Source organism: Homo sapiens, chromosome 11, assembly GCF_000001405.40.
Source record: "Homo sapiens chromosome 11, GRCh38.p14 Primary Assembly".
NCBI lineage: Eukaryota > Metazoa > Chordata > Mammalia > Primates > Hominidae > Homo > Homo sapiens.
In genome coordinates this window covers 21,888,073-21,912,523 of record NC_000011.10, presented here as the reverse complement: position 1 = coordinate 21,912,523, position 24,451 = coordinate 21,888,073, and the positions used below count along the sequence as shown (strand labels likewise).

The following is a 24,451-nucleotide window of genomic DNA, read 5'->3' as shown; positions in this document are numbered from 1 at the left end:
CAACATAATCTAGGCAGTGGGGTGGAGGAAGTGGAAAAAAAAATCTCATCTCCTCCCTTTTAAGAAGAACTTCCAGTAGTACCAAAAGGCACTTCTTAATATTGCACTGGCTGCAACTCAGTTATATAGCAACACTTAGCTACAGAAGAGTACAGGAAATGTGTTACTTTTTCTTGGTGATCATGTGCCCACTAAAAATTAGAGCTCTATTACTAAGAAAGAATTACTGATATTGGGATAAATAATCAGCAGTCTCTGCCTCATTGCTCAAGTGACTCCTCATTAGAAGGGCCTTTATTGATCACTGTATATAAGGTATACATATTGTTATCTTATTATTTTGGTTTATTGTCCTCAAAACACATCACTACCTGAACTTATGATACTGATCAATCCTTGTCTGTCTATTCTTCTAGAATTTTCTCTATCTAACCATACGTTTATTTGAAATCTGTTCACATATTTATTGTCTGTTTTTTTTATTTGAATATAAAGACTCAAAAACCTGGGACATTATATGTCTGTTGGATAACCATATTCCCAGCAACTAAATCAATGCCTGTTATTTAATAGGCACCTAATGCATTTATACTGAAAATAATTTCCTCTGTGAAGTGGAAGATGAGGTTGTATCTGCTGTGAACAAAAACATATGTGTGTATGATTGGATGGCTCCTGGGGATATCAGAGTTTTAAGAGAATTGGCAATGTTTAAAATGGTTAAGGAGAATGTGAGTGAAATGGTAAGGTTTGTGTATGATGTTCAAGGCCCATGTGAGACTGGTTATCATATATTTTATGATGTAAATGTTTGGTAATACGACTTTCTCCAGCAGTGCTCAGTTAGTAGGATTCAGATAACAGGAAATAACTAGTTGTTAATCTACTGTTGAGAGTTTAAGATATTGGTAAAAGTATTGTTGAAATAGTGAAAATTTTTTATTTTTCTTGGTCATTATAGAGAAAACAATGACTATAGTTATAATAAGTAATTTGGATGAAAATAATAAAAAGAGAAATGAGTTAGAAGAGAATAATAATACTACATATTAAGAGTGTTTTTAGGTTCAAAGTGGTAGTGTGTGCATGTGTCTTTATGTAATCTCATAAACGTATAAATTTAAGTTTCATGAGTGTATAAATAAAAATAACCTATGACATTTTCAAAGCAGACATTACTATCCTTATTTTACAAATGAGGAAATTACAAATGAAAGAGTTTGATGACTTCCCCAAACACAACAGGAAATTAAAGTAAAAAGCAGAACAGGGATCAAAATTTCCTGAACGTTTGTCTAATTCTCCAAAAGAGATATATAGGAGACATCCTGCTGTCTTCAATTAGAATGGTTTCATTAACTTGGTTTGAGTACTTTAATAACATAAGGACATATTATATTTTGTCATTTTCTACTAACTCAAAGGAAGAAATGCATAGATATGTGTTTTTTGCTGTTGGGAAATGAGTAATGTTGGCTTTCACTCAAGACACTCACACTAATGAAAACATAAGTAGGTGGAATAGTGTACTGAATTTTGCATGAATAATGGTTTCAAAATTAAACCCATTAAAAGAATAACATCTCTTTTTGAAAGATGATAGGTGCATATAAACCTTAACATTTTCTTAGTGTGATATAAATATAAACTTCAGGCAGCAAGGTGTACTAGAAAAAGTATGGACTTTGAAACACACAGATTAGAATCCTTCCCTAGTTTTCTCTGAAAATTAGTTTTGTCATTCACAATATAGGAATGATAAGCACTTCTTCATAGCATGATCAGGAGCACTCTGGACAGACTCGTACCAGAAATTAAATTCTTATTTCTGAAAGTGACACACTTCTGCTCATATTTTACTAATTCTAGCAGTCATATGTCCATGCTTAACTTAAAAGGAAAGGGAAAGTAAAATCCACATGTGGATCTAAAAAATGGAGAATGAGAGGTATTGGTGAGCACCCTCATGGATACCATAGTGATTTAATTTAATCAGACATATTGGCCAGGTGCCATGGCTCACGCCTGTAATCCCAGCACTTTGGGAAGCTAAGGAAGGTGGATCACTTGAGGCCAGGAGTTTGAAACCAGCCTGGCATGGTGAAACCCCATCTCTAGTAAAAATACAAAAATTAGCTGTGTGTGGTGGCCTGTGCCTGTAGTCCCAGCTACTCATGAGAATCACTTGAACCAGGGAGGCGTAAGTTGCAGTAAGCCGAGATCACGCTACTTCACTCCAGCCTAGGAGACAGAACAAGACTCTGTCTCAAAGTAAATAAATAAATTAATTAATCAGAAATATGGATAAAAATAGCAATAAATAATACAACAGCATTTTCCAAGGCATATTTTGCAGAATTCTATCCAGAAGAATATTTGTAGGTATTCACAGAATAGTTTCCTTAGGTGAATTTGCCAAATATTCTGTTACTTAAAATTCAAGATTGTCTACTGTAAGATTTCACAAAACTTGTATATGCTAAAATGCATCATGGATCTCTAAAGTGGGAGATGGTGATTAAAGTATGTAGCATTTTTAACTCTTATTGAATCCTGGAATCTTTTTTGTTTGGTTGTCTGCTTTTTAAGGACAACTATATGAGATTATGTTCATAACAGTATTTGAACATTTGGTTGAAAATTTGTGGCTGAGATGATCTGAGGTCTGATGAGAATGGAGGTGTTTTTTGTTTGTTTGTGTGTGTGTGTGTGTGTGTGTGCGTGTGTGTTTATTTTTTTTTCTGGGTGAAAGGACAATGGCTTCTAAGTTTCCAGGATGATTGCCTATAAAGGCTAAGTTATAGATACCTCAAGCCTTTAGGTGTTCTGTCATTGGGAAAAGAATGCTGGTGAGTAGAAGGTTTAGAAATAAAGTAACTTACTGAAAATATGCAAATTGGAATGCTTGCCAAGAAGAAACTAAGGATACCAAATGCACATTGCTCTAAGGAGCATAGGAAAGAGAGTTGAGGTTGGATCAAAGCTCATAGTTTCATCCCAGAGACTGAGGCCTCAGTTGTATGTGGTTGAGGCCAAGTTAGGTGGTATATATTTCTCCCTGTGTATTGATTGCTCTCTCTCACTTATCCATATTACATCGTTAATGGGCTTGATAAAGATTTCACTGTAAATGCTGTGTCACAAGACTGATTGCATAAAAGTGTAAATAGAGGTCAGAAGGTAGTGACTCAGAAACTGTTTATTTATGGACTTGCACATTACAGGAAGGTGACAGGGTTGTCAATGTGGTGCTCTCAACAGATTGGTAGTCAGCTGATTGCTGTCAAGAGGGATTCAAAGTGTCTTATCTCCAGATTTTGAGTCGTAGAAAAATAATTGGGGAGTTTAATACCTGGTCCCACCTCCAATCAGTTTTGCTATCACCATTAAAGATCATACACTAATGATATCATAATGTACTACCATCTCCTGCTTGAGATACAATTTTTTAGCTACTTTCCCTAATTTCACTCTTACCCTCACTCCCACTGACTTATTTTCATAGCAGGAATAGCACTTAATATTATAATTCATCAGTGACTGATTTCCCATTTCATTAAAAACCCATTTCATTAAATTACCACATATTCTGGTCTCTGCCTAGCTTTTTCCCCATCCTTAACTTCTCTCCAACCATTCCTATTTTCTTCTAATATCCTGAATAGGCCAAACTGTTAACCTTGCTCAAGGCCTATGCAAATAATATTTCCTCTTCTTGGAATGTTCCTTTGATCTTCTTTAAAAGTCTTATTTCTGCATTTTTTTTAAAAAGACTCGCTTAAATGCCACATCTTTAGAAAAACCTTTATACTTCTTGGTTTCACTCTTTTTTATTTTCTCAATAATGTTTACATGATTTATAATGCTGTAAATTTACTTATTTTAGGATTAGGCTTTTATCTATCTCCCTCACAAGAGTATATAAATAATAATAAGCCAATGAGAGCAAATGATGAGGCCTATTTTATATATTACTTCAACTCAGCACCTAGTTAGAACAATACATTTATAACAAAGGAATGAATTTAAAGAAGGAAAGAGAGGGAGGGAAGGAGGGAGAAGGGAGGAAGGAAAGAAGAAAAGGAAGGAAGGAAGGAAGGAAGGAAGGAAGGAAGGAAGGAAGGAAGGAAGGAAGGAAGGAAGGAAAGTACATTTGTCAGAATAATGCCACCACCTGGGGAGGTTTGGGGACTGTCAACCAAAAGCCTTGTTGCATACTTTCCACTTTGTTCACCTAGCAGTTTTAAAAATGCCACCTCTTTACCATGCTTATTTCACTAGTGAATTCTTCAGTATGGTCCTACAGAATTACCCTAGGTCTCCATTCATCTTCATATTTTCCTGTCCCAATACTTTTGATCAAAAACCATTTTTTTTTCAATTAATGTTCTGTTCAAATGCCACCTTTTCTATGAAACCTAATCAATCCTGACTCTAGACCACCAAAACATTTTCTTTGAATCTCTTTTATTAAAAAAATCACTTTCAGGTCAATATTTTATAGTCTTTCAGGTTCATATCTTACATCTTGTCTTTTTCCAGACTATGAACTCCCAGAACAGAAAGGATCAATAATTAATTTTTTTCTTAAAGTATCTGGTGTGCTACCTTACCCATAGAATGTTATCAATAACTTTTGTTGTAATTTAATTCTCCATCCACGTGGAAAAAAACAACAAATGTTAAAACAGCACCAATTTTCACTATTGTTTTAGACCTTGTTTTTAAAAGATGCTTTTTTTAGATGAAAAATTAGTTGTATCATAATTTTATAAATCTTATTTATACTGATAAAAAATATTACAGTAAAGCAATTCCTCCAATCCACTTATTTGCAGAGCATTGGGTATACAGATATTTAGCATCTACTGCACACATAAACACTGAATATTAGGAAAATAAATTGCTTTTTTATTTCTTACTTTTTTTCTGTCCTTCTAAATGCCAGTACAGTAACAGTTCTGTCAAAACAAGATGCTTAATTATGGCACCTCTGCACTGGGAGGTTATCAATGTAGACAAAACTGTTGACACATTATAGCTAAGATACAGCAGAGTGAAAAGTTTAATCAGCTGTATAAACACCAATGAATTGGATCTCAAATATGATGGGCCATCACAGGAAAATTATTATTGATATAATTCTAAAAATAAGGCCTTGGATGGGGAATCTTGCTGAATAAGAAAATGTAGGTTTACAGCATTCTGTCCTAAAAGAGAGACATTGGCTATAAAAAGAAAAGCTTGATGTTCCTCTCTCTAATAGGAATCATTTGGTATCATGCCATGAATGGTGAGTTTGCAGAATGCACAGTGTAAACTAACACATAGTATTCCCTTGTCAGGTGCAGGTTCATAGCCAGAACTCGAGACTTGATGAAAAATACCCAAATGCCATATATCCAGGAAGTGTAATCAGTTATTGTATTTGACTTGTTCTTTGTCAATGTATTATTACACCTGAAAAATTGTAATGAGCTCAAATTTTTTCTTGCTTCAGGGTTTTTACACTGTTCTTCCCTCTTTCTGGAACACTATTTCTTAGATTGCTGCATATGTGTATCCTTCTCATCACTCAGATCTCAGTTCAAATGTCATCTTCCCAGGAAGCGATTCCATAGCCACCATATCCAGTTTACCCAACCCCTCTTAGTATTAGGGTACATTGTCTTGTTTCTCTTTTTCATCATATTTGTCAATACCTGAAATGGTTATTTATCTGATTGTTTGCTTACCATCTTTTTATACTACTAAAATGTAAGCTCAATACACACAGGATGCTTGTTTGCCTTATCCACTGCTATGCTTCCAGGGCTGGAATGATGTCTGGTGTAGTTATTCCATCAATAATTTATAGAACAAATGGATGAAACATATTTGCTGCATCATCTTTCCCCAGCATTGTAATACCAGTTTTCAGCATATTAAGAGAGGTCAATAATACATCAGCTATTTTCCTGCTGCGAAAATGAATTGGAAAGATTCACTGTAAGTTCACTCATGATATTGATTATAAAAACCTGCTGGAGTTCTCAAATTTTAGAAGGAAAAGGTGCATGTAAGGAAGAAAACAGAAGGCACAGAATTGCCATTTATTGGGGTTCTACCATGTGCTAATTAGTACGCAGGATATATTAGTCACATTATTATGAACCATAATAATATCAATAATAACCAAATGTATTAAACACCTTCTCTGTGCCCAGTACAGCTCTGAAATGTTCTATTTTATTTTCTCATTAAATTCTCATAATTAAATTTATGAGGTAGGTACAATTATTATCTTCATTTTACAGCTAAGAAAACACCTTCTTGGCAGGTATTATTTTCTTAATTAAGATTGTAAAATCAATGTTAAAAGTAATTTTTTCAAGTCTACAAATGTAGTAAATGACAAAACAGATTGGAACCTAGATGTTTTATAATCTGCACTTTGCTTTTCTGATGACAAACAGAATGCATGTGTATGTGTATTTATGTGGGGTCTGCCTTCAGTTAAGTATTGTAATGAAAACACCTTCGATTAGTAAAAAAAAAAAGAAAATCATTATCTGAGTGCCTATCTATGTGCTGAAATTGAGTTCATTTCTCTAAGAGTATACACATAGTATGAAAGAGAGAATAAGCCACAAACCATCTGGTATAAAATGGTAAGTTTTAAAAATAAATTATTAAAGAATAAGATTGCCTTGAACAACGTGCTGGTTATTGGGTATGTATATAAACTCAGCACAGAGATTAGGGAGAACGAGCTTAAAGCAGCCCATTAGAGCTTAGGTTGGGTCTTGAAAGATGGAAAAGAACAAGGAGAACATCAGAAAGAGGGAGAGAGAGAATAGTGTTATATTAGCAAAGGCACAGAAAAAAGGAGCAAGAAGCTACGCGTGCAGTATGTAGATGTAAAGGAAAGGAGAGGTTCACCAGATTGGAACTAAGAAGGTGGTTCAGAAAGGGCAGTTCAAATAGTTACATAGGACCAGACTATAGCACTTAAATGCACATCTCTTCCTGTTCTCTTTTTCTACTGGAATCTTGGCATGGGTGCTTCAAGTAGTGTGTGAAAAGCAAGAGGGTGAAGGGGAAGCTGTCTTCTCTTATAATCAAAACAGATTGTGATGACAGGGGTCTCAAAGAAATATACATGAAGAATAGTTTGATAAAGATGAGATTCTCCTGGAGATGCACATTAGAGCTAAAGATAAAATGGGTTTCTGCAGTGTGGAAAGAGAAATCTGCCAATCCAATTCATTGTGCTTCTGATCAGTTTTCTATTTTTATGGTTAATTGCTTAAATATGAGTTTTTGCCTTACTAATGAGCTTAGGGATTTTTATGTAAACGATGCATTTTCATGGACTAAAGAGACTATAAAAAATGTCTTACCCCCTAAAATTAATTCTGGCAGGAAAAGTCAGTGTATAAAGTAAGCTGTTTGGGAGGCATTCCATTGAGAAAATTTGCTGTTGCTATTGCTTTAGCAGTACAAAAATAAATTGATGTTTACAAGAAAATTATCTTGATACACAGAAATTCTGAAGGCAGAGTCTTTGCCAAGTGTGCTTTATTTTATTTTGTTCAGGATTTTAAAAGATAATTAGTTTATGGTTTATTGAACCAATATTCAATGATTAAATCTTTGAGAAACTACTATGTGTTTCGTGCTTTCATACATATATATTATTTCATTTAATTCTAACATCCTTGTAATTTTACCAAAAAATCCAAGGTTTAGCTTTTGCTCAAAGTCACAGACACTGTGTGGAATTTAAGCTTGTATTCTAGTCCTATGCTCTTTCTTCCCCCCTACATTTTTATTCTCCAGGATTACGAAATTCCCCTAGCTTGAGGGTAATGATGTTTTCTTCCTCTCTCCTTCCCCTGTTCCCATTCTCCTTCCCTTTCTCCATCCCTGCTTTCCTTTCTTCCTTCCTTCCACAGATATTTAATGAGATCTAGGTTCAAAGATTGATTATAGGTACTGTAGGTTCAAAGAAAATATGACATTGGCCCACACCAAGGAGGAATTACTAAGCTACTGGGGGGACCAGGTATTTAAATAAAAAATGTAATGATGTAGTAACAATGCGATTATTGTGTATATAAGTGGCACAAAGGCATGGTCTATTTTGCCAAGGAGGGTTATAAAAGGCTTCATAACAAAAGTGACAATTGAACTGAGTCTGAAAGGATAAGTGATATGATTTGGCTTTGCGTCCCCACCCAAATCTCATCTGGAATTGTAATCCCATGTTGGGGGAGAGACCTGGTGGGAGGTGATTTGATCATGGGGTTGTTTTCCCCCATGCTGTTCTCATGATAGTGAGTGAGTTCTCACAAGATCTGATGGTTTTATAAAAGGCTCTTCTTCGTTTGCTCTCTTCTCTCTCACCTGCCGCCATGTAAGACATGCATGCTTTCCCTTCGGCCATGAATAAGTTTCCTGAGGCCTCCCCAGTCATGTGAAACTGTGAGTCAATTAAACCTCCTTTCTTTATAATTTATCCAGTCTTTGGCAGTTCTCTACAGAACTGTGAAAACAGACTGATACAATAAGTAACTACTTGCAAGAAAAATTGGGGACAATGGCAAGAGACATCCTCAGCTCCAGAAACAGAATGTATGAAGGCACAGAAATTTTAAAAATACTTCAAGCAAAAAATCTCACCTTTGCAAAAAGCATGTGAAGAACAACAATCTATGCAGTCTTTCATAAATCCTCTTTTAGGTAATTAGCTTTCTGGAATATTGCCAAATAATAGCAAATTTCCCCTTCTCATCTCTCTTGGGAATATTTGAAATACAGGACAAATATTCATACCACGAAACAATGTTAACATACTCAATTTGCATAAAACTCCATTTAACAACACTGACATAAAATGTTAAATGAGTTGATTGGTTCCAAACATAACTTTCTGGGCAGTTTCATTCCGAAAACCTTGTTAACCTCACCCAAAAACCTAATATTGAAAGATGATTTAAAAAAATTTTGCTCCCTTTACTAGAGGAGTATTTGAGGCTTAGTAGTGCATTAATAGTGTTTGTCCTGAAGCATGGACAGGACTAGGAAGTCTCTTGAATTCAAACATTCTTCTGTAATGTACAGTAATACTGCTTCTTATGGTTGGATCATATTCTTATCTCTTTCTCTGCAGCACCTGAAGGAGATGAGCTCACGTTACATCCATTGTCTTAGCAACTCTTCTAGGAAAATGTCCAGATTTAGAAACAAAAGAGTAATAACAACTCCACATTATTGTGGGAGAAGATCTTTGCCTTCAATCTACTGATCACAATTTTTTCCCCATGGACAATTTATCCCTCAGCTAGAATGTCACTGGATCCTCCAGAGATCTCTATGTTCATTCCTGTATTACCACCTTTTTACAGACTCATCATACATGCATCCTGCTGAGCTGGTACAGGTGTGTTTAGCAGGTACATCAGCTGTGTCACATCTGCTGTCAGAAACAGCCTTTTATAGAACAGTAGCGCAGGCCTCACCACAGTGGGAGGCATGAGGGGAAACTTCTGGATTGGATTAGTCACCTCTTACTGCCTCATTATGTTTGATGCCCACAAGGGACAGATTGATCTCAATTTAGACCAGATTAAAGTTTTCAAAACTTTTCTATTGAGCTGCTTCATTTGGCACCCTCTTTGAGAGTGCCACGTTATGGTGGGTTTAGCTCCTCCCTTTCAAAGCATTTCCACCGACTGGGATGATGGTAACAAGCTTCTTACCATGACTACTGAAGCTGCAGGTAACTTCAGGTGGTATGTGCTGAACCGGGCTTGTGCACTAATCTGGCTCTCCTTGTGAATGGCTTGTTCATTATGCCAATATCAAAGTGCAGGGAGACAAGAATTTGAAAGAGTAGTCTTGGGCTATGGAGTTTGATAGATCTAGATTCAAGTTTCTGTTCCAGTCACTTACTAACTGTGTGACTTAGTACAAATGACAGTTGGGTTGATGGCAATGGAAATTTTATTGTCTGGCTTATTCAAGTTGTTTTACTTCATGCTGGAGAAAGAAGTAACTGTAGAAAGTAAGATGATAACTATCATTTATCCACAGCCCGTATTGTGATAGATAATCAAGTGTTTTAATAGTAATCATTAAACACTTAGGTAGAACTTACTATGCCCCAGGTAGTATTTCAACTACTTGGCATATATTAACCTATTAATTGTCATAATACACCTATGAGGAAGACATTATCACTATTCCTACTTTATAGATGAGAAAATTGAGGCACAGAGATATTAAATGACAAAAAATATATTTGCTGACATGAGAGGCCCATTGTTTCTCCTTGCCGTGATCAAATATAGCACTGTGCTCTCATCCTGCTCCTCTATCGGCCCCACCTCTGGGAAGCTGAAATTGCCTCCTGTCCTACCACTACCTGCTGATTGGAGGAGCACTCAGGGTGCTGGGTTGTGGGCCAGTGGACTTTCTGAATGTAGAGTACCTCCATGGATACTGACTAGGCCGCACTGATGTCCCCAAATTCTACTCTGGACAGATCCAGACAAAGCCCAATGATAGGATATACTGTGTGTGATTAAAATTATTTAAAATGTGATGTGTTTTTCAAGCCAGGAAACGTGGAATTCCATTTTAAGCATCAATATAGTGCAAGAAGGTATACATTATGACCTTAAATTAAGATTCATAAAGATTAAGTATGAAAAATCTAATGTGAAGGGACAAGAGTGTATTCTCAGTACCTTAACATTTTTATAGCAGGTGATTTTTTTTGGTAAAAGTGTTAATCCCGTTTATTGTACCTTTGAAGGCATGCATGACTTCTCTGATCTCTTATGATTCATTAAAGGAAAATCTTAACTTTAGACACAAACACAAACATACATGTGCTTACTAGATTTTGTAAAAACACATAATTATAAAATTATCAGTGAATTATGCCAGACTATAAAGCAATATTTAGGAATTACTGAAAAGATTTTTTGCTACATCCGCATTACCAGGATTACAAACAGAAATCAAAAAACAATAACCAGAACACTAGAGCTTTTCCAATTTAATCCTGATATTTTTTTTCTTTTCTAAGCCATAATTTAAATTCTCTAAGGCAAACATTGTTTTTGAGGACTTACTGTTTTTCTTTCTTTTTTTTCTTTTTGAGACAGAGCCTCTCTCTACTGTGCAGGCTGGAGTGCATTGGTGCCATCTTGGCTCACTGCAGTCTCCGCCTCCTGGGTTCAAGCAATTCTCCTGTCTCAGCCTCCAGAGTAGCTGGGACTATAGGCATGCACCACCACACCTGGCTAATTTTTGTATTTTTAGTAGAGACGAGGTTTCACCATTTTGGCCAGGCTGGCCTCGAACTCCTGACCTCAACTGATCTGCCCACCTCGGCCTCCCAAAATGCTGGGATTACAGGCATGAGCCCCCGTGCCTGGCTTATTTTTTTTCTTTTTAATTACAAAGCATACATTACATTTGTGTTAACAATACATCACATCTTGCTTGTGCCAACAGTAGAGCCATTCTAAAGCACACTAATAGTTCAAAGTTACTTTGGAATGGCTTTTGAGCATACTATAACTGGGCTGGGAGCAGTGGTCTATTTATAGAAAATAACCCTCACTTAGTGGGTAGAAACCATTATCTTTGTCTAATGATGACAAAGGACAATCAATGACCAATGATAACTGTCAGTGGAGTTTTCACTTAGTTTGTGGCATATATAACTTAATAGGTACTATAGCGGGGAGTTCTAGGCAGTAAAATAAAGTGTTAGTCAACCATAAATTAACAGCTAGCTTTGAATGGGATGGGCCACTGATACACTTGCTTCACAACAACCCTGGTTGGATCTATGCAGTGGTTACTGCTGCAGCTGACAGTGATTGGGTGAAACAAGGCTCCGAGGCTTGGAGCTCAAATTGAGTTGTTTTTTTCTCATTACTAGCACTCTGGTATCTTCTTTTATACTGCCCACAGGTCACCTCTATCATGTTGTTTCTTCCCAGGCACCACAGTGAGAGGTTATGGCTTTGCCTGATCTTTGTCACTATTTTTAAGTTCTTCAGGTGATGACACTATGTTTCATGTCACCCTTAACTCAGTCAGTCGAAGAGTCAAATAAGTAAATGCCTAAGATCACAGAATCCCAGAATAGCTGCACTTCTGTAAAACTGCCAGCAGGCCTGAAGACCTTCTCTAAATATTTTTCACTTACGAATCCCAAGTTATAGCTGAGAAACCTTTTCAAATATGTAAATTTGTGAAGTATCAGAGATGACTTACTGATTTTTCCTTGGGTACAAAATCAGAAGGTGGGTTTTTATTTTCATTGTCAATATTTTCATTCCTCTAATTGATATTAGAGGGATAGTGATCAACCCTTCAGTTCATATTCTTAAATGCTAGTTATATTCTCTTGTTTTGTGTCATGATGTTGTATAGCTATAGGAGAAGGAGAACGGGAGGGCAGGACAGAAATGGTGGCAGAAACTGTTTTACATTCTTCTACTACAGTATTTTGAATTCTTTTCTAGCTCTTATACTTAAGGTTCCATCATTCTATATTTTCAGTCTGGGGTTTGGGCCATGAATTAAATCCAACAGAAGGTGTTGATAGCTACTCAATTCAGGTGAACCAGAAGTCAAGTTCTATAGGGTTAGATAACAAACAACGCAATGCAGGTACCATTATAGGTCCAGGAAAGCAAGGGCACATATCTAGAAAGGGATCCACAAATTAACCAGTTAATTAATTAATTTAACTTAATAGAAAGTGAAGAAGCAAGGCTGGTAAAATAAGGAACAAACAGATAAGGAACCAGACAAATGTTCTGAGCTATAAAAATTCAAGAACTAAACAGTTGCATTTTATGTGCAGCCCATTAACAACCAGACCTCTTTCCTTTGCTGTTCCTTTTATTCCTATTAGAACTCATCTGTTTTGAATCACATTCCTAGAGACTCGATTTTATTTTCTCTTTTTTTTTTTTTTGAGATGAAGTGTTGGTCTGTTACCCAGGCTGGAATGCACTGGTGCGATCACGGCTCACTGCAACCACCACCTCTCAGGCTCAAGTGATCCTCCCACCTCAGCCTCCTGAGTACCTGAGGCCACAGGCCCTCACCACCACGCCCAGATAATTTTTGTATTTTTTTGTAGAGATGAGTTTTCTCCATGTTGCCCGGGGTTGATGTCAAACTCCTGGGCCCATCCCCACCTCCCAAAGTGCTGGGATTACAGGCGTAAGTCACCATGCCTGGCCCTTGATTCTGTTTTCTAAGATGACAGCTGATTGAACTTATTCTGCAGAGGGGCTCCAAAGTGGATCAGATGCTCTAAGCCTTAGCTGCACATTATAATCAGCTCATGAGCTTTACAAATATAAGAAAAGCCCCGGCCCTACCCACTACCAGTTAAAGCTGAATATCCAGGGTTGATACTGAACATGAGCAGGTAACATCAGCATCATTGATCCCTAAGCAAGCAGCATCAGCACCATTCAGTGGCTTGTTAAAATGCAGAGTCTCAGGCCCAACCCCAGATCTGCTGAATAAGAATATGCATTTTAAAGAAGGCATCAAATGATTTATATGCATATTAAAGTTTGGAAAATGCCGATCTAGGAGAGGTCAGCAAACTTTTTCTTTAAGAACAGTGGATATTTTAGTCTTCGTGGGCCACATATAGTATTTCCTTTTTAACAACCCTTTAAACATGTAAACATCATTCTTAGGTTGGGGCACACAAAATCAGACCATAACTGAATTTGGGTCACCCCATAATTTATGATGCCAATTTACTAATGAATAAACTAAAGGTCATGAGTTCAAATTTCTTCCCTAAGACTAGAGAGTAGTGGAGTGGTAGCTACAACCCAGAGTCTGCCTGTATTCTTTCTACTATTATATTCTGCTCTTTTAATAGCCTACATCTCTTAGGGGTGTTTTCATTTTTGACTGTGCTCTAAAAGGAGCAAAGACCAAATTACTACATCAGTCAATAATAGCCCCACTTCTTTAGTACTTACTACTTGCCAGACACTGGATTAAGCTTTCAACACATATGAACTCATTTAATAATCTTCATATCAGTGCTATGTGGAATTACTATCATTATTCCCATTTTCATTTGAGGAATCTGAAGATTAAAAAGGCTATATAGCTTACCCAAATCTCACAACTTTTAAGTATAAAAGCTAAGATTGTTGGACTCCAAGGCTCATGTATGGACACACTACACTGCAGTCTTTCTACCCTTTAAAAACCTATAAACACCATACTTCTCAACGTTAGGTGAATATAAAAATTACCTGTGGTATTTCTTAAAAATATAGATACTTGGGTACAGCCTCTGGAGAGTCTTATTCAATAGGTCTGTATGGAGGCCTAGGTAATTAAACTTTATAGATGCTTCTGGTGCCCAGTGAAGTCTGATGAATATTATATTAGCATATGAAATAATGTCTCAAGTATTAAAAATGTAGATAGATTGTAATTTCAATACACAAAAAGAAAGTTGCATATGTTTTAGAACATTCAGGAGTATGACTAATCCACTTCTGCTGGGGTTTTGACACCCTGCCTAGACTTACTGGGGATTTGGAAAGAAAGGGACTACGTACTGCTCCCTTGTCATACACTAACTGGATGTAGTCCTGTTTTATACAGATTATTTGGAACCACAGATTTACCATCTGCTTCCAGAGGCTTCAGGATGCATTGCTAATGGTTGAGACTCTCACTATGGTCTACCATCTGGGCCATGGGATAATATATGGACTAGCCAGCTACTCTGGTGGTTTCTGAAGTGGGTTATTTTCCCTAGCTCTAAAACCACAGAGTTGTATAGTCTATTCCTTTTCCAATAGATCACAAGCCTGGCTTCGGTAAATAAACACCCTCACTGCCAAGCAGTGCCCTCATTTCTATGTCTTCAACAACTAGAATGGTCCACTGAAATTTTCCAATCTACCTTCTACTGCTTCAGCACCTTCCAAAGTTCCCTTTTGACTATGGTAAGTTACAGAAGCTAACCCATCTACATCTAGCTCTGAAATAACACGCTTAATTTCTCTTGGTTGCTCAACAGCCTTCCCTCAAAACCTCTCCCACTGCCCTGAGGCTGTTAAGTTTCATTTTCACTCTCCTTCTGTGGCTCCTTCATATGGTAGGGAGCTTGCAAACCACTGGGTTTTCAACCTTCACTTGCTGTTCCATAGCACTTCGCTATTGGTTGTGAAATTTATAGAGCAGTTGGTTAAAAGCCCTTAAATCAATCTGGCTGTTTAAAACTGGAGACTGCCTTTGGCAGAAACATTCCTAAGCATCTTGCTTGGCTGGTATTTTTAATTAACACAGCTAATTGCCTTGTAGTATTAGTACAGGCCAGTAGGACACAATTAACAAGAGAGACAAAGACAGAGATGTTGTTAGGTCTAAGGACCAACTTGGGAGAGCTTGGTCTAAATCTTATTGCTAGGTTAAACGAAGTTGCCCAAAATCCTTAGAAGCATTGCCTTTATCAGACCCTCCATCTGAAGTTTCTAGGCTTTGGCAGCAGCAAGGTTCTCTATGGAGGTTCAAGCTCTGAGGATTTTTAAAGCAAGGGACTAGGGTTAACTCACTGCAAACATTTCACAATCAAAGATACTTAGTCAACATTCAACACCTACTCATGTAACCTAACTGTAAATAACATTGTTTTAGACTGAGAAATTATCATTAATGCACAAAAAACTAATTTCATTCTCCAACCATTTCCAGGGGTAAATATTAATATCCTAGTTTTTGGTTGGAGACTCAAGAGGTTTAAGCAACCTTTCCAGGAGCTAAAGATGTGGTAAATACTAAAGATGTAGTAAGTAAACGGTAGAGTCAACATTTAACACAGCCCTCCTAATATCAAATTACCTATAATGATACCATAATCACATAACATTTGATTTAATAAAAATCTTAACCAATGAGAAAATTGCCAGCTGATACTTTGAACAGTGCTTATTAACTGAGGCAAAGGAGACAACTCTCAGTATGACACATGTAATCAATCCATCAAAGATAGAATGCAAAAAATGTGTCATTTGCTGTGGCCTAATTTAAGCTTGCACTTGAAGTGGACACTGGGAACTGTGTCTCGTTTTCTTCCTTCTTGGTGAGGATTAGTTTGGGTTAGAATCCAACTGACTTGGGAAAATGTATTTGTATCCTTTGTAAGTAACAAAATAGAAAAGGAAAAAGACAAAGCTCCAGATTGGGAGAGGAGAACTCCCCGTTTTATAGCCAGTACTTGACTTACAAATGCAGTGAAAACTCAGGTTGGTTTACCCGCTCCTTCCCAATTTATCTCTGTCTTACAGTGAGTGTTCACAAATGTTCTAATATGAAGATATAATTAGAAAGTAAAATCTTAGTTAGCTAGAGCTCAATTAACTATACCAGTTGTCTAGCTCTTTTTTTTTTCTTTCTGAACTATTCTTATCAAGAGAGGCAGATCTCAAGTAACAAGCTAACAATTAGGACAATTAAAGATAAAATAAGATTTTTTCAGTATCCAGGCTGTGTCCTGAGGTTGGGGTGCATGTAGCTTAATATCCTGCATCTAAATTAACCATGAAATCACAGACATATCCAATTATACTGTGAAGTCTCCACTCCCATTTGTGGGTTAGTTGAAGGAGGCAGCTGTGTGGTAGGTAAATAGCTAGGTATTGCTGCTGGATATTGTCACTCATACTTAGTGTTTCAGTTTGCTCATCTATAAAATGAAGATATAATCACTGATCTCAAAGGGTTATCTTGAAGGTTAATTATTATGTTATTTTCAAAATTTTTTAACCTGTAAAATACTATCAATTTAATAACAGTTAACATTATTTGAGTATTTACTATGTATTGAGCTATTGTAAACATTATATACATATACACATACACATACACACAGTATTTTGAATAGATATTTATTTAATCTTCACAACAACTAGAGGTGGAGAAAAATATGAGGAAACTTAAACACAAATGATTTTTATATGCATACAATAAATATTATCATTCATTCAAAAATATTTGCTAAACACATACTTTGAGTCAAGTACTTGTCTTCCTTTATTTTTTCTGTTTTAACACCTCTCTTCTCTCCCTCCTTTCTCTCCTCATCTCTTTTCCCCCTCATCTTTCTCTTCTCTTTTATTTCCCCTTTCTTTTTTCTTATTCTTCTCTTCTTCTTCAACCTCCTTCTTAAGACAATAGAGAAAGAATGGAAGATTCAGAGTCCAAAGACTGGAAAAGTTCTGGTGTTTTGTGACATTGAGAAGATCAGCATCTCCTTGATTTATTGTCTTTGACTTTATAGGTGATGCTAAGGATCAAATGATATGAGAAAATATTTCCTACATTTAAAAATGTTTACAAAGGTAAGGTAGTGAAAATGTTACCATCGACACAACTACTACTAAACAATGTCTAACATCTTTTCACGCCTGACATCCTGCGTCTATGATTCTCTATCTGTAACACAGCACAGAACTGATGCATTGGATGATGAGTTGGGGAACCATTCAATGTCAAACAAAACAGAACAGCAGACTGGAGAGTGACCTTTAGTTAACCAGAAAATGACAGCAGCTAGGCCATGACTTGAACAATCAAGCTTATGAATGTTTTTAGTCTGCATTGAATACGTACTGATCTACCTAGGAACCTGATGCAATTGGAGAAGAGACAAACTGCTAGATATGAAAAGGTACTTAAGAGTTATAATAGCAATTTGTCACATTCTATTAACTGAATGAAGATATGTACGCTTATCGAAAAAAGAAATTAAGACTGTCTGCTCTGAAAGGGAAGAGAATAAGTCAATTAAACTTGCCCTGCGAAGCACTCATCTGTTCATATGGTTGCTGAATAAATGCTTATTGATGATAGGCATGAAGCAATTAGGAGTTAGAAGCATAGTGATAAGCCTTCCAAAAATTGGTCTGAAAAATCTTTGGCCAAAATTCTAGCAGGCTTAATGGATTTGTGAAAAGCTCTGGTGTTTTTCATTTAATTTAGCCATGATCATTAGTAAGCCTTGACTTTGTGGCTAGCATGGGGTAGGTGCTGGTGATACAGGAAAGACTGCTGTTCTCACAAAGTTTTGTATTTTGCACATTAATTGTCCCTGTTATGATGTAGGAGAGCTCTTATGTGGAGGAGAAAAATAGCCCCAACAGTGGTGGAGTTTGGAAATTAATCGGACAATAGAAGATCACTGGGTCAGAACAAGAACTGAAACCCAAAAGACCCATGAGAATCTTGCAACCTTTAGTCCTCTCCAGGCTGGCGGTTCAGTGGAAGAACACATAGCAGAAGGGTGGTAACAGTTCTCCAATAATTTGAGCATCTGAGTCTCATCAATTGGAATGATATGGGGAACAACCTCATTTCTATTGAATCATAAAAATTCTTCATGTGTGTTTGTATATATGAGGGAAGAAGGGAATTAAGACCATGTTTCCAAACTAGTACTCATAAAATGCTGCTATATACAATGTTAATTAGTAAGTCAAAAAGAAAAGGTTAAATGTTGAAAATATGTTATATCCACGCATTGCAGCGCTCCATAAAGACTTTAATATGCCTATGCACCTTGTAAATCTCTAAGAAAAAGGAAAATCCAATTATAATGCCTGAGACCAAGGCTAGCCTTGAATCAAATCACTTAAGCCCTGGAACCAGTGACTGGTGACACAATTACCACTGGAAATAAAAGGGCTGAAAGAATCATGCAAGCATTTTAGTGAGTTATTTGTATATGTCCTTACAATCTGGAGAAGTACAATATGACTGCCAATTCTTCCTTATGCCCTCCAAATTCCCAGACAAATGCTTTGTGTCACAATTTATTCCCTTACATCATAAATCATACTTTGAAACCCTACACTTATAAAACTTCATTTAGTTGCCATGATGTATCTGGTAGCCATCATCACAAGAGTATTAAGGGTTCAGTGTGTGTACACACATATGGATGTGTGTGTGTCTGTGTGTGTGTGTTCTCTTTTCAGAAGACGGATCGTCAGCACAGTTCCCTGCTATTGTGTGAGTGGTAAATGCCACAGTGCACAGTCATTTATTGTATCTCAAACTGTTACTGGCATTAATAACTGTAGAACTATGGCTGTATTTGTTGTGTCAGCCAGACATATTCTTGCTATTAACTTTTGAATAACAGCAGCGGCCCATCTAATGAAAAATAATGACTTTAAAACAAAGAACTCCAAATAATTCGATTCCACAGAGAAGCCAACAGCAGAAAAGCAGGGGATCTTCTTCAAGTTCCCACTTTTCCTGCAGCACTAGTTCTGAATGACATTTTTAGCTGCATCTCTGTAGCAGTGTGGGAGACATAAAAATTAATTTGAATATCTTTTTCCTTTCACCCCTAAGGTCTCTGGGGATCTGAGCAATGCATTTGAAATGGTTGATTATAACATTCTGTTGGATAAATTAACCTCCTAGTGTGTAATGCTTCAACTCAAAAATGGATCACAACGTATGCAAACCTAATAATTTGAAAAGGCTGGGCAATTTTCCATTGTGTGTGTGTGTGGAGGAGAGGATATTTTTATTCCTCTTAGTAAGTTATGAGAAATAGGAAACAATCACATTCTCCGCTCAATAGGAGGTTTTTTTTTCTTGCATTTGCAATGCCAGTTCTGAATGTGCAGTTGCAAAATGGCATCTTGGCTTAAAAGGCACACCACTGTGATTGTGTAGATTATAAAGTCATTTATTTATGCACCCATTTGTATACAGTCTTTGTTGCTACAGCATCTGTGAGTCTGACATTACTTAAAAAACACAATTAAATTTGAATACCTCATACTGGAACCTTATTATAAGCTTGTTATTTCTCTTCCCTTAATTGCATTCCATTACTCCTCATTATAGTTTTCTATCATAAACAGTTCTTCAATTATTTTTCCCCCTGGGGAATTCACAACCAGAGATAAAACCATTCTTTCTTCCTTCCACTCCTATTTCAGTCTCCTGAACAGTGGCAATAGGGCCCAGGCAGCTCATACTATTTTCTATTTCTAGGACACTCCTATAAACTCCTTAAAGACTGAAGATCCTGTCCAGGTGAATGTAATTTATCTGTACCTAAATTCAGGGTAAAAACCAAAACAATGGTGGCAGTTATCTTAAGTTTTAATTGTTGCTAAAGTCCAGCAAAGTTGGTCTTTGTCTCGAAGACTGTTTCCTCGTCCACAAAATAGGCATTAGAAATTTATTCTACCCATTTCACAGGGTAGACCAGATGTTTTTATTTAATAACCTGGAAGTGTGTTTTGAAATCATGGAATCTTATTTGATGTTAGAAAATATTACTACATAGTTAATGTTTATGGAGCTGTTGCTATGTGCCAGGCACTGTGTCAAACAATGTGTGCACATTCCTTCATTTTATCCTCCCGGTAACCCTTGAGGTAGGTACTATTTTAATCCCCATTTACAGATGAGGAAAATAGGCACACAGAGGCAAACTAATCTATCCAAGGTAAAAGCAAACAAACAAACAAACAAGCACACACTAGGAAGAAGCAGGGCTAGAACTGAATTACAGGTCTTTCTGGCTTTGTAATCTGACTCATAGTAGTAGAATTGGAAGCGGATTGAAGGTATGTGCCATCTATGATCTATGAGGTGGATTCTCTTGGGAGCCCTGAAAGGTAGTCAAGGTAAGAAAATTATCTACACTTGAGTAATGAAAAATGTGATGCTGAAATGAATTTTGAGTGTGGGCTGGGTTTGGAAATATAGGATTGATAAAAATGGTGACTCACGCCTGTAATCCCAGCACTTTGGGAGGCCGAGACAGGTGGATCACCTGAGGTCAGGAGTTTAAGACCAGCCTGGCCAACATGGTGAAACCCCATCTCTACTAAAAATACAAAAATTAGCTGGGCATGGTGGCAGACACCTGTAATCCCAGCTACTCGTGAGGCTGAGGCAGGAGAATCTCTTGAACCCGGGAGGCGAAGGTTGGAGTGAGCCGATATTGGGCCACTACACTCCAGCCTGGGCAACAAGAGCGAGACTCCATCTCAAAAAAACAAACAAAAAAATGGAAGGAGCAGCACCTCAACTGGGGGGAACAGTCAGGGATCTGTAGATGATTAAATTTTGCTGAAACGAAGGCTATTCAAAGGAGTCAAGTGGTAAGTCAGGTAGGCTGGGCTCATTAAGAGAGAGATTTGAAAGACAAATTAGAGATTCTGGATTTTCTCTGGTGGAATAAATTATGAATCCATTTTAGAGTTAATATTCCAAAAAATTAATATAAGAAGAAGAGGAGGTGGAAAAAGGCTACAAGAAAGAGGGGGAAGAAGAGTAAGCAAAAGAAAAGGAAGAAGAAAAGAAAGAGTAGAGGAAGGAGGAAGAAAAGGAAGGGGAACAGAAAGATGGAGGATGATGCAAGCAACAACAACAAGGACAACAGCAACAAAAACAAACCTGGCACACATGGGGTTTGTTCTGGTAGAGAAATGAGATTCTGTACCTCCCCAATCCTACCCCCTTCCTGCAACCCCCCACATTCACACAAACAGATACAGTAAACTTATGCTGAAACACCCAAACTCCAAGCTGCTGGTTGTTTTGCACTAAGGATGGAGCCTCAGGTTAGGTGGCACTTTGATTTAAGAAGTCATTACTTGGGCATGTTTATTGGATAAAGGCATTTCCCGAAATCTTGGCTAGAGGACTTAAATGGCTGTACATAATGAAGTGTTAGGAACTTTAAGTTTATGTTTTATGCTCAGAGTGATGCATAATGGAAGTGATGTTTCTGCACATTCAGAAAAGAGAAGTTCTGGAGGAGTGCTTCCTAAGAGAAGGTAAAGGCAATGTAGTGAGAAGCTATGGTCTACGGAGAGTGAAAACTGGCAAACTAATTTCATGCAGATCTGATGTTCGATGTTCAGGTGTTTTCTGATTAATTCTATAATTCTACTTTGTTTTCCGTGATCTTCAATTAAACTCCGCTTTGACAACTTAAGTGACTAACAATGAGAAAATGTAGTGTGGAAGAGGGACAATGTATTCAAGTTTTGGAGCAGCTCTCAATCATGGCAGGGTGGCAGGGTCAGTCTGAGAGAGATCAAGAACTGAGCTAGAAGCTAAAATAATACTTAGGGCAGTAAACAAGCTACACCCTCCCCCACCCCAGGAGTTATCAAAAACCTGACAATGCACTGGACTTCTTACATTTTGTGCACTGGGAGTCTGGAGTTCTTTTATTTAGATACCAAATCAAGGGGGTCTCAGGATGTTAGAGGATTCAGTGACATTTGGGCAATGTAAATAACACTTATGAGTGTTCCCTATTCATTGCTGTATTTTTATTCATTTACTCTTCTGTAAACAGGAATTTAAATAGCTTTCTGGCCAGGTGCAGTGGCTCATGCTTGTAATCCCAGAACTTTGGGAAGCCAAGGCAGGAAGATCACTTGAGCTCAGGAGTTTGAGACCAACCTGGGCAATATAGCGAGATTCCATCTCTACAAAAAATGTTTTTAAAAGTACCTGGGCCTGGTGTTGTGAGCCTGTAGTTTCAGCTACTTGAAAGCCTGAATTGCTAGGAGTGCTTGGGTCCAGGGGGTGAAGGCTGTAGTAAGCTATACTCACACCACTGCATTCCAGCCTGGGGAAGAGAGCAAGATTCCGTCTCTAAAAAAAAATTTTTGGTAGCTTTTCTTTAGCATCAAGGATGTCCTACTGACTCTTGACTATTGATGAAAGCACTTCTCTCCTTCATATTATCATCAGCATTTCCCTCTGTTCCAAAGGGTAGGTTAGGCCACAGGGTCACTGGCTAAGGCAGAAGGTATCCTGTTTCCACTTAGTATTGGAAATTTTTCTGACCAAAAACTATTTAATGTCTCTTATCTTTTGCTGATTTTCACATAGTATTTGGACAATTTTTATTGGAGCTCTTCTCCCTCATGAGAATAATTCCATATTTTTAACAAGTGTGCCAGTTTCATGAGTAGGAGACATATTTATAATTTGGATATATTTCTGCAAAATCCTATTTGAACATCAAAGCATGGGGTAAAAATACTCTTTTTTCCTGGCTTGATTTAAGCAAAAGGTCCTGACCAAAGGATGCCACACAGCAGATGCTTAGCATAGATAGCAAATATCTAACTGCACACAAAACACAATATTTACATGTTCATTTATACCTTTTTAATGTCCGGAAGGTAGTCTTCACATCCTCATAAAAGATTTAATTATTTGGTTTATGTCAGGCTTAAATAGTCACTGAAATTCATAGCAATTAGAACTAATTTTCTTTTAGGAGTGCTCTTTCATCCTTGCAGTTTTCTCAAGATAAATCATCTGACCTCAGGCACACAAAGATTAGTCCAAGAAAAGTATGATTCTGAAATAGCACAGCCTCAGCAAATGATGAGTCACAAAGACTATTTGAATTCACCACTCGGGGATTCAAGATCATACACAGCAAGGGGTTTGCTCAGTGTTGCAATGAGTGGCTAACCCAACCAGAGTAAGAACTTTTATTCCCAACTCCCAGGCTAGTGATGTGTTCATTACCACATTCTTCCCCTTTAGTAAGCCATTAGAGTCAGCTGGCATGCTTGAGCAATAAAAGCCCAGCTTTTCCTATGTCCATGTGAAGATCAACCTCCTTCCCTCAACCTTTCCCTTAGGTAGATGTTTTTTCTGTCTTTTTTCTTTGTCATATTAATTTACCATAAGAGCATGTTTTTGTTTGTAAGTTATTAATACTTTCTTGGTCAAGATCTTCCAGTGGCCACCCAATAGCTAGAGAAAAAAGTTTACTAATTTTAGCCTAGTCCTCAGAGGTTCCTCAGAGTTTCCTATTATCTAGTAAGCTGGCAATTCAACTTTATTTTTTATTCATGAAAATAGCAGCTTCCATTATGGAGCACTTATTCAGTAACAGAAACTGTGTATCTACTATATCATTTAAACCTGTGAAACAGGCAGTATTGTCATACTTATTTTTATAGATAAGAAACACTGCAGTGCTAGAGAAGTTAAATAACTGGCCCAAGGTTATTCAGTAGGCTTATCAGACTAGTCTAACTCCTCAGCTGCTGTCCTTCTTGTCTTCAGCCCATCTCACCTCTTCCATGTGGTCAAAATGCACACTTCCCCACCATATACTTGGCTTCTTTTCACATTTAGGCCTCTGCTCATCATTTACCACTCACCCAAATTGTCCCTCTTTATTTTCACTCCATATCCTTCTTTCAAGCCCTATATTAGTTCCCCATTGTTGCTGTAGCAAAATACCACAAACTTAGTGGCTTAAAACAACATAAATGTGTTAGTTTATAGTTCTGAAAGTCAGAAGTCCCAAAATGTGTCTCATGAGGATAAAACCAAGGAACCCTCAGGGCTGCATTTCTTCTGGGTGCTC

General features: G+C 37.2%; 1 long non-coding RNA gene across 4 annotated transcripts in view; it reads right to left on the bottom strand.

Annotated features, from left to right (window-relative positions):
- Positions 1-24,451, bottom strand: part of LOC102723370 (uncharacterized) — a 366,694-nt gene that overhangs the window by 207,376 nt on the left and 134,867 nt on the right. The gene's annotated exons all lie outside the window — the stretch shown is intronic.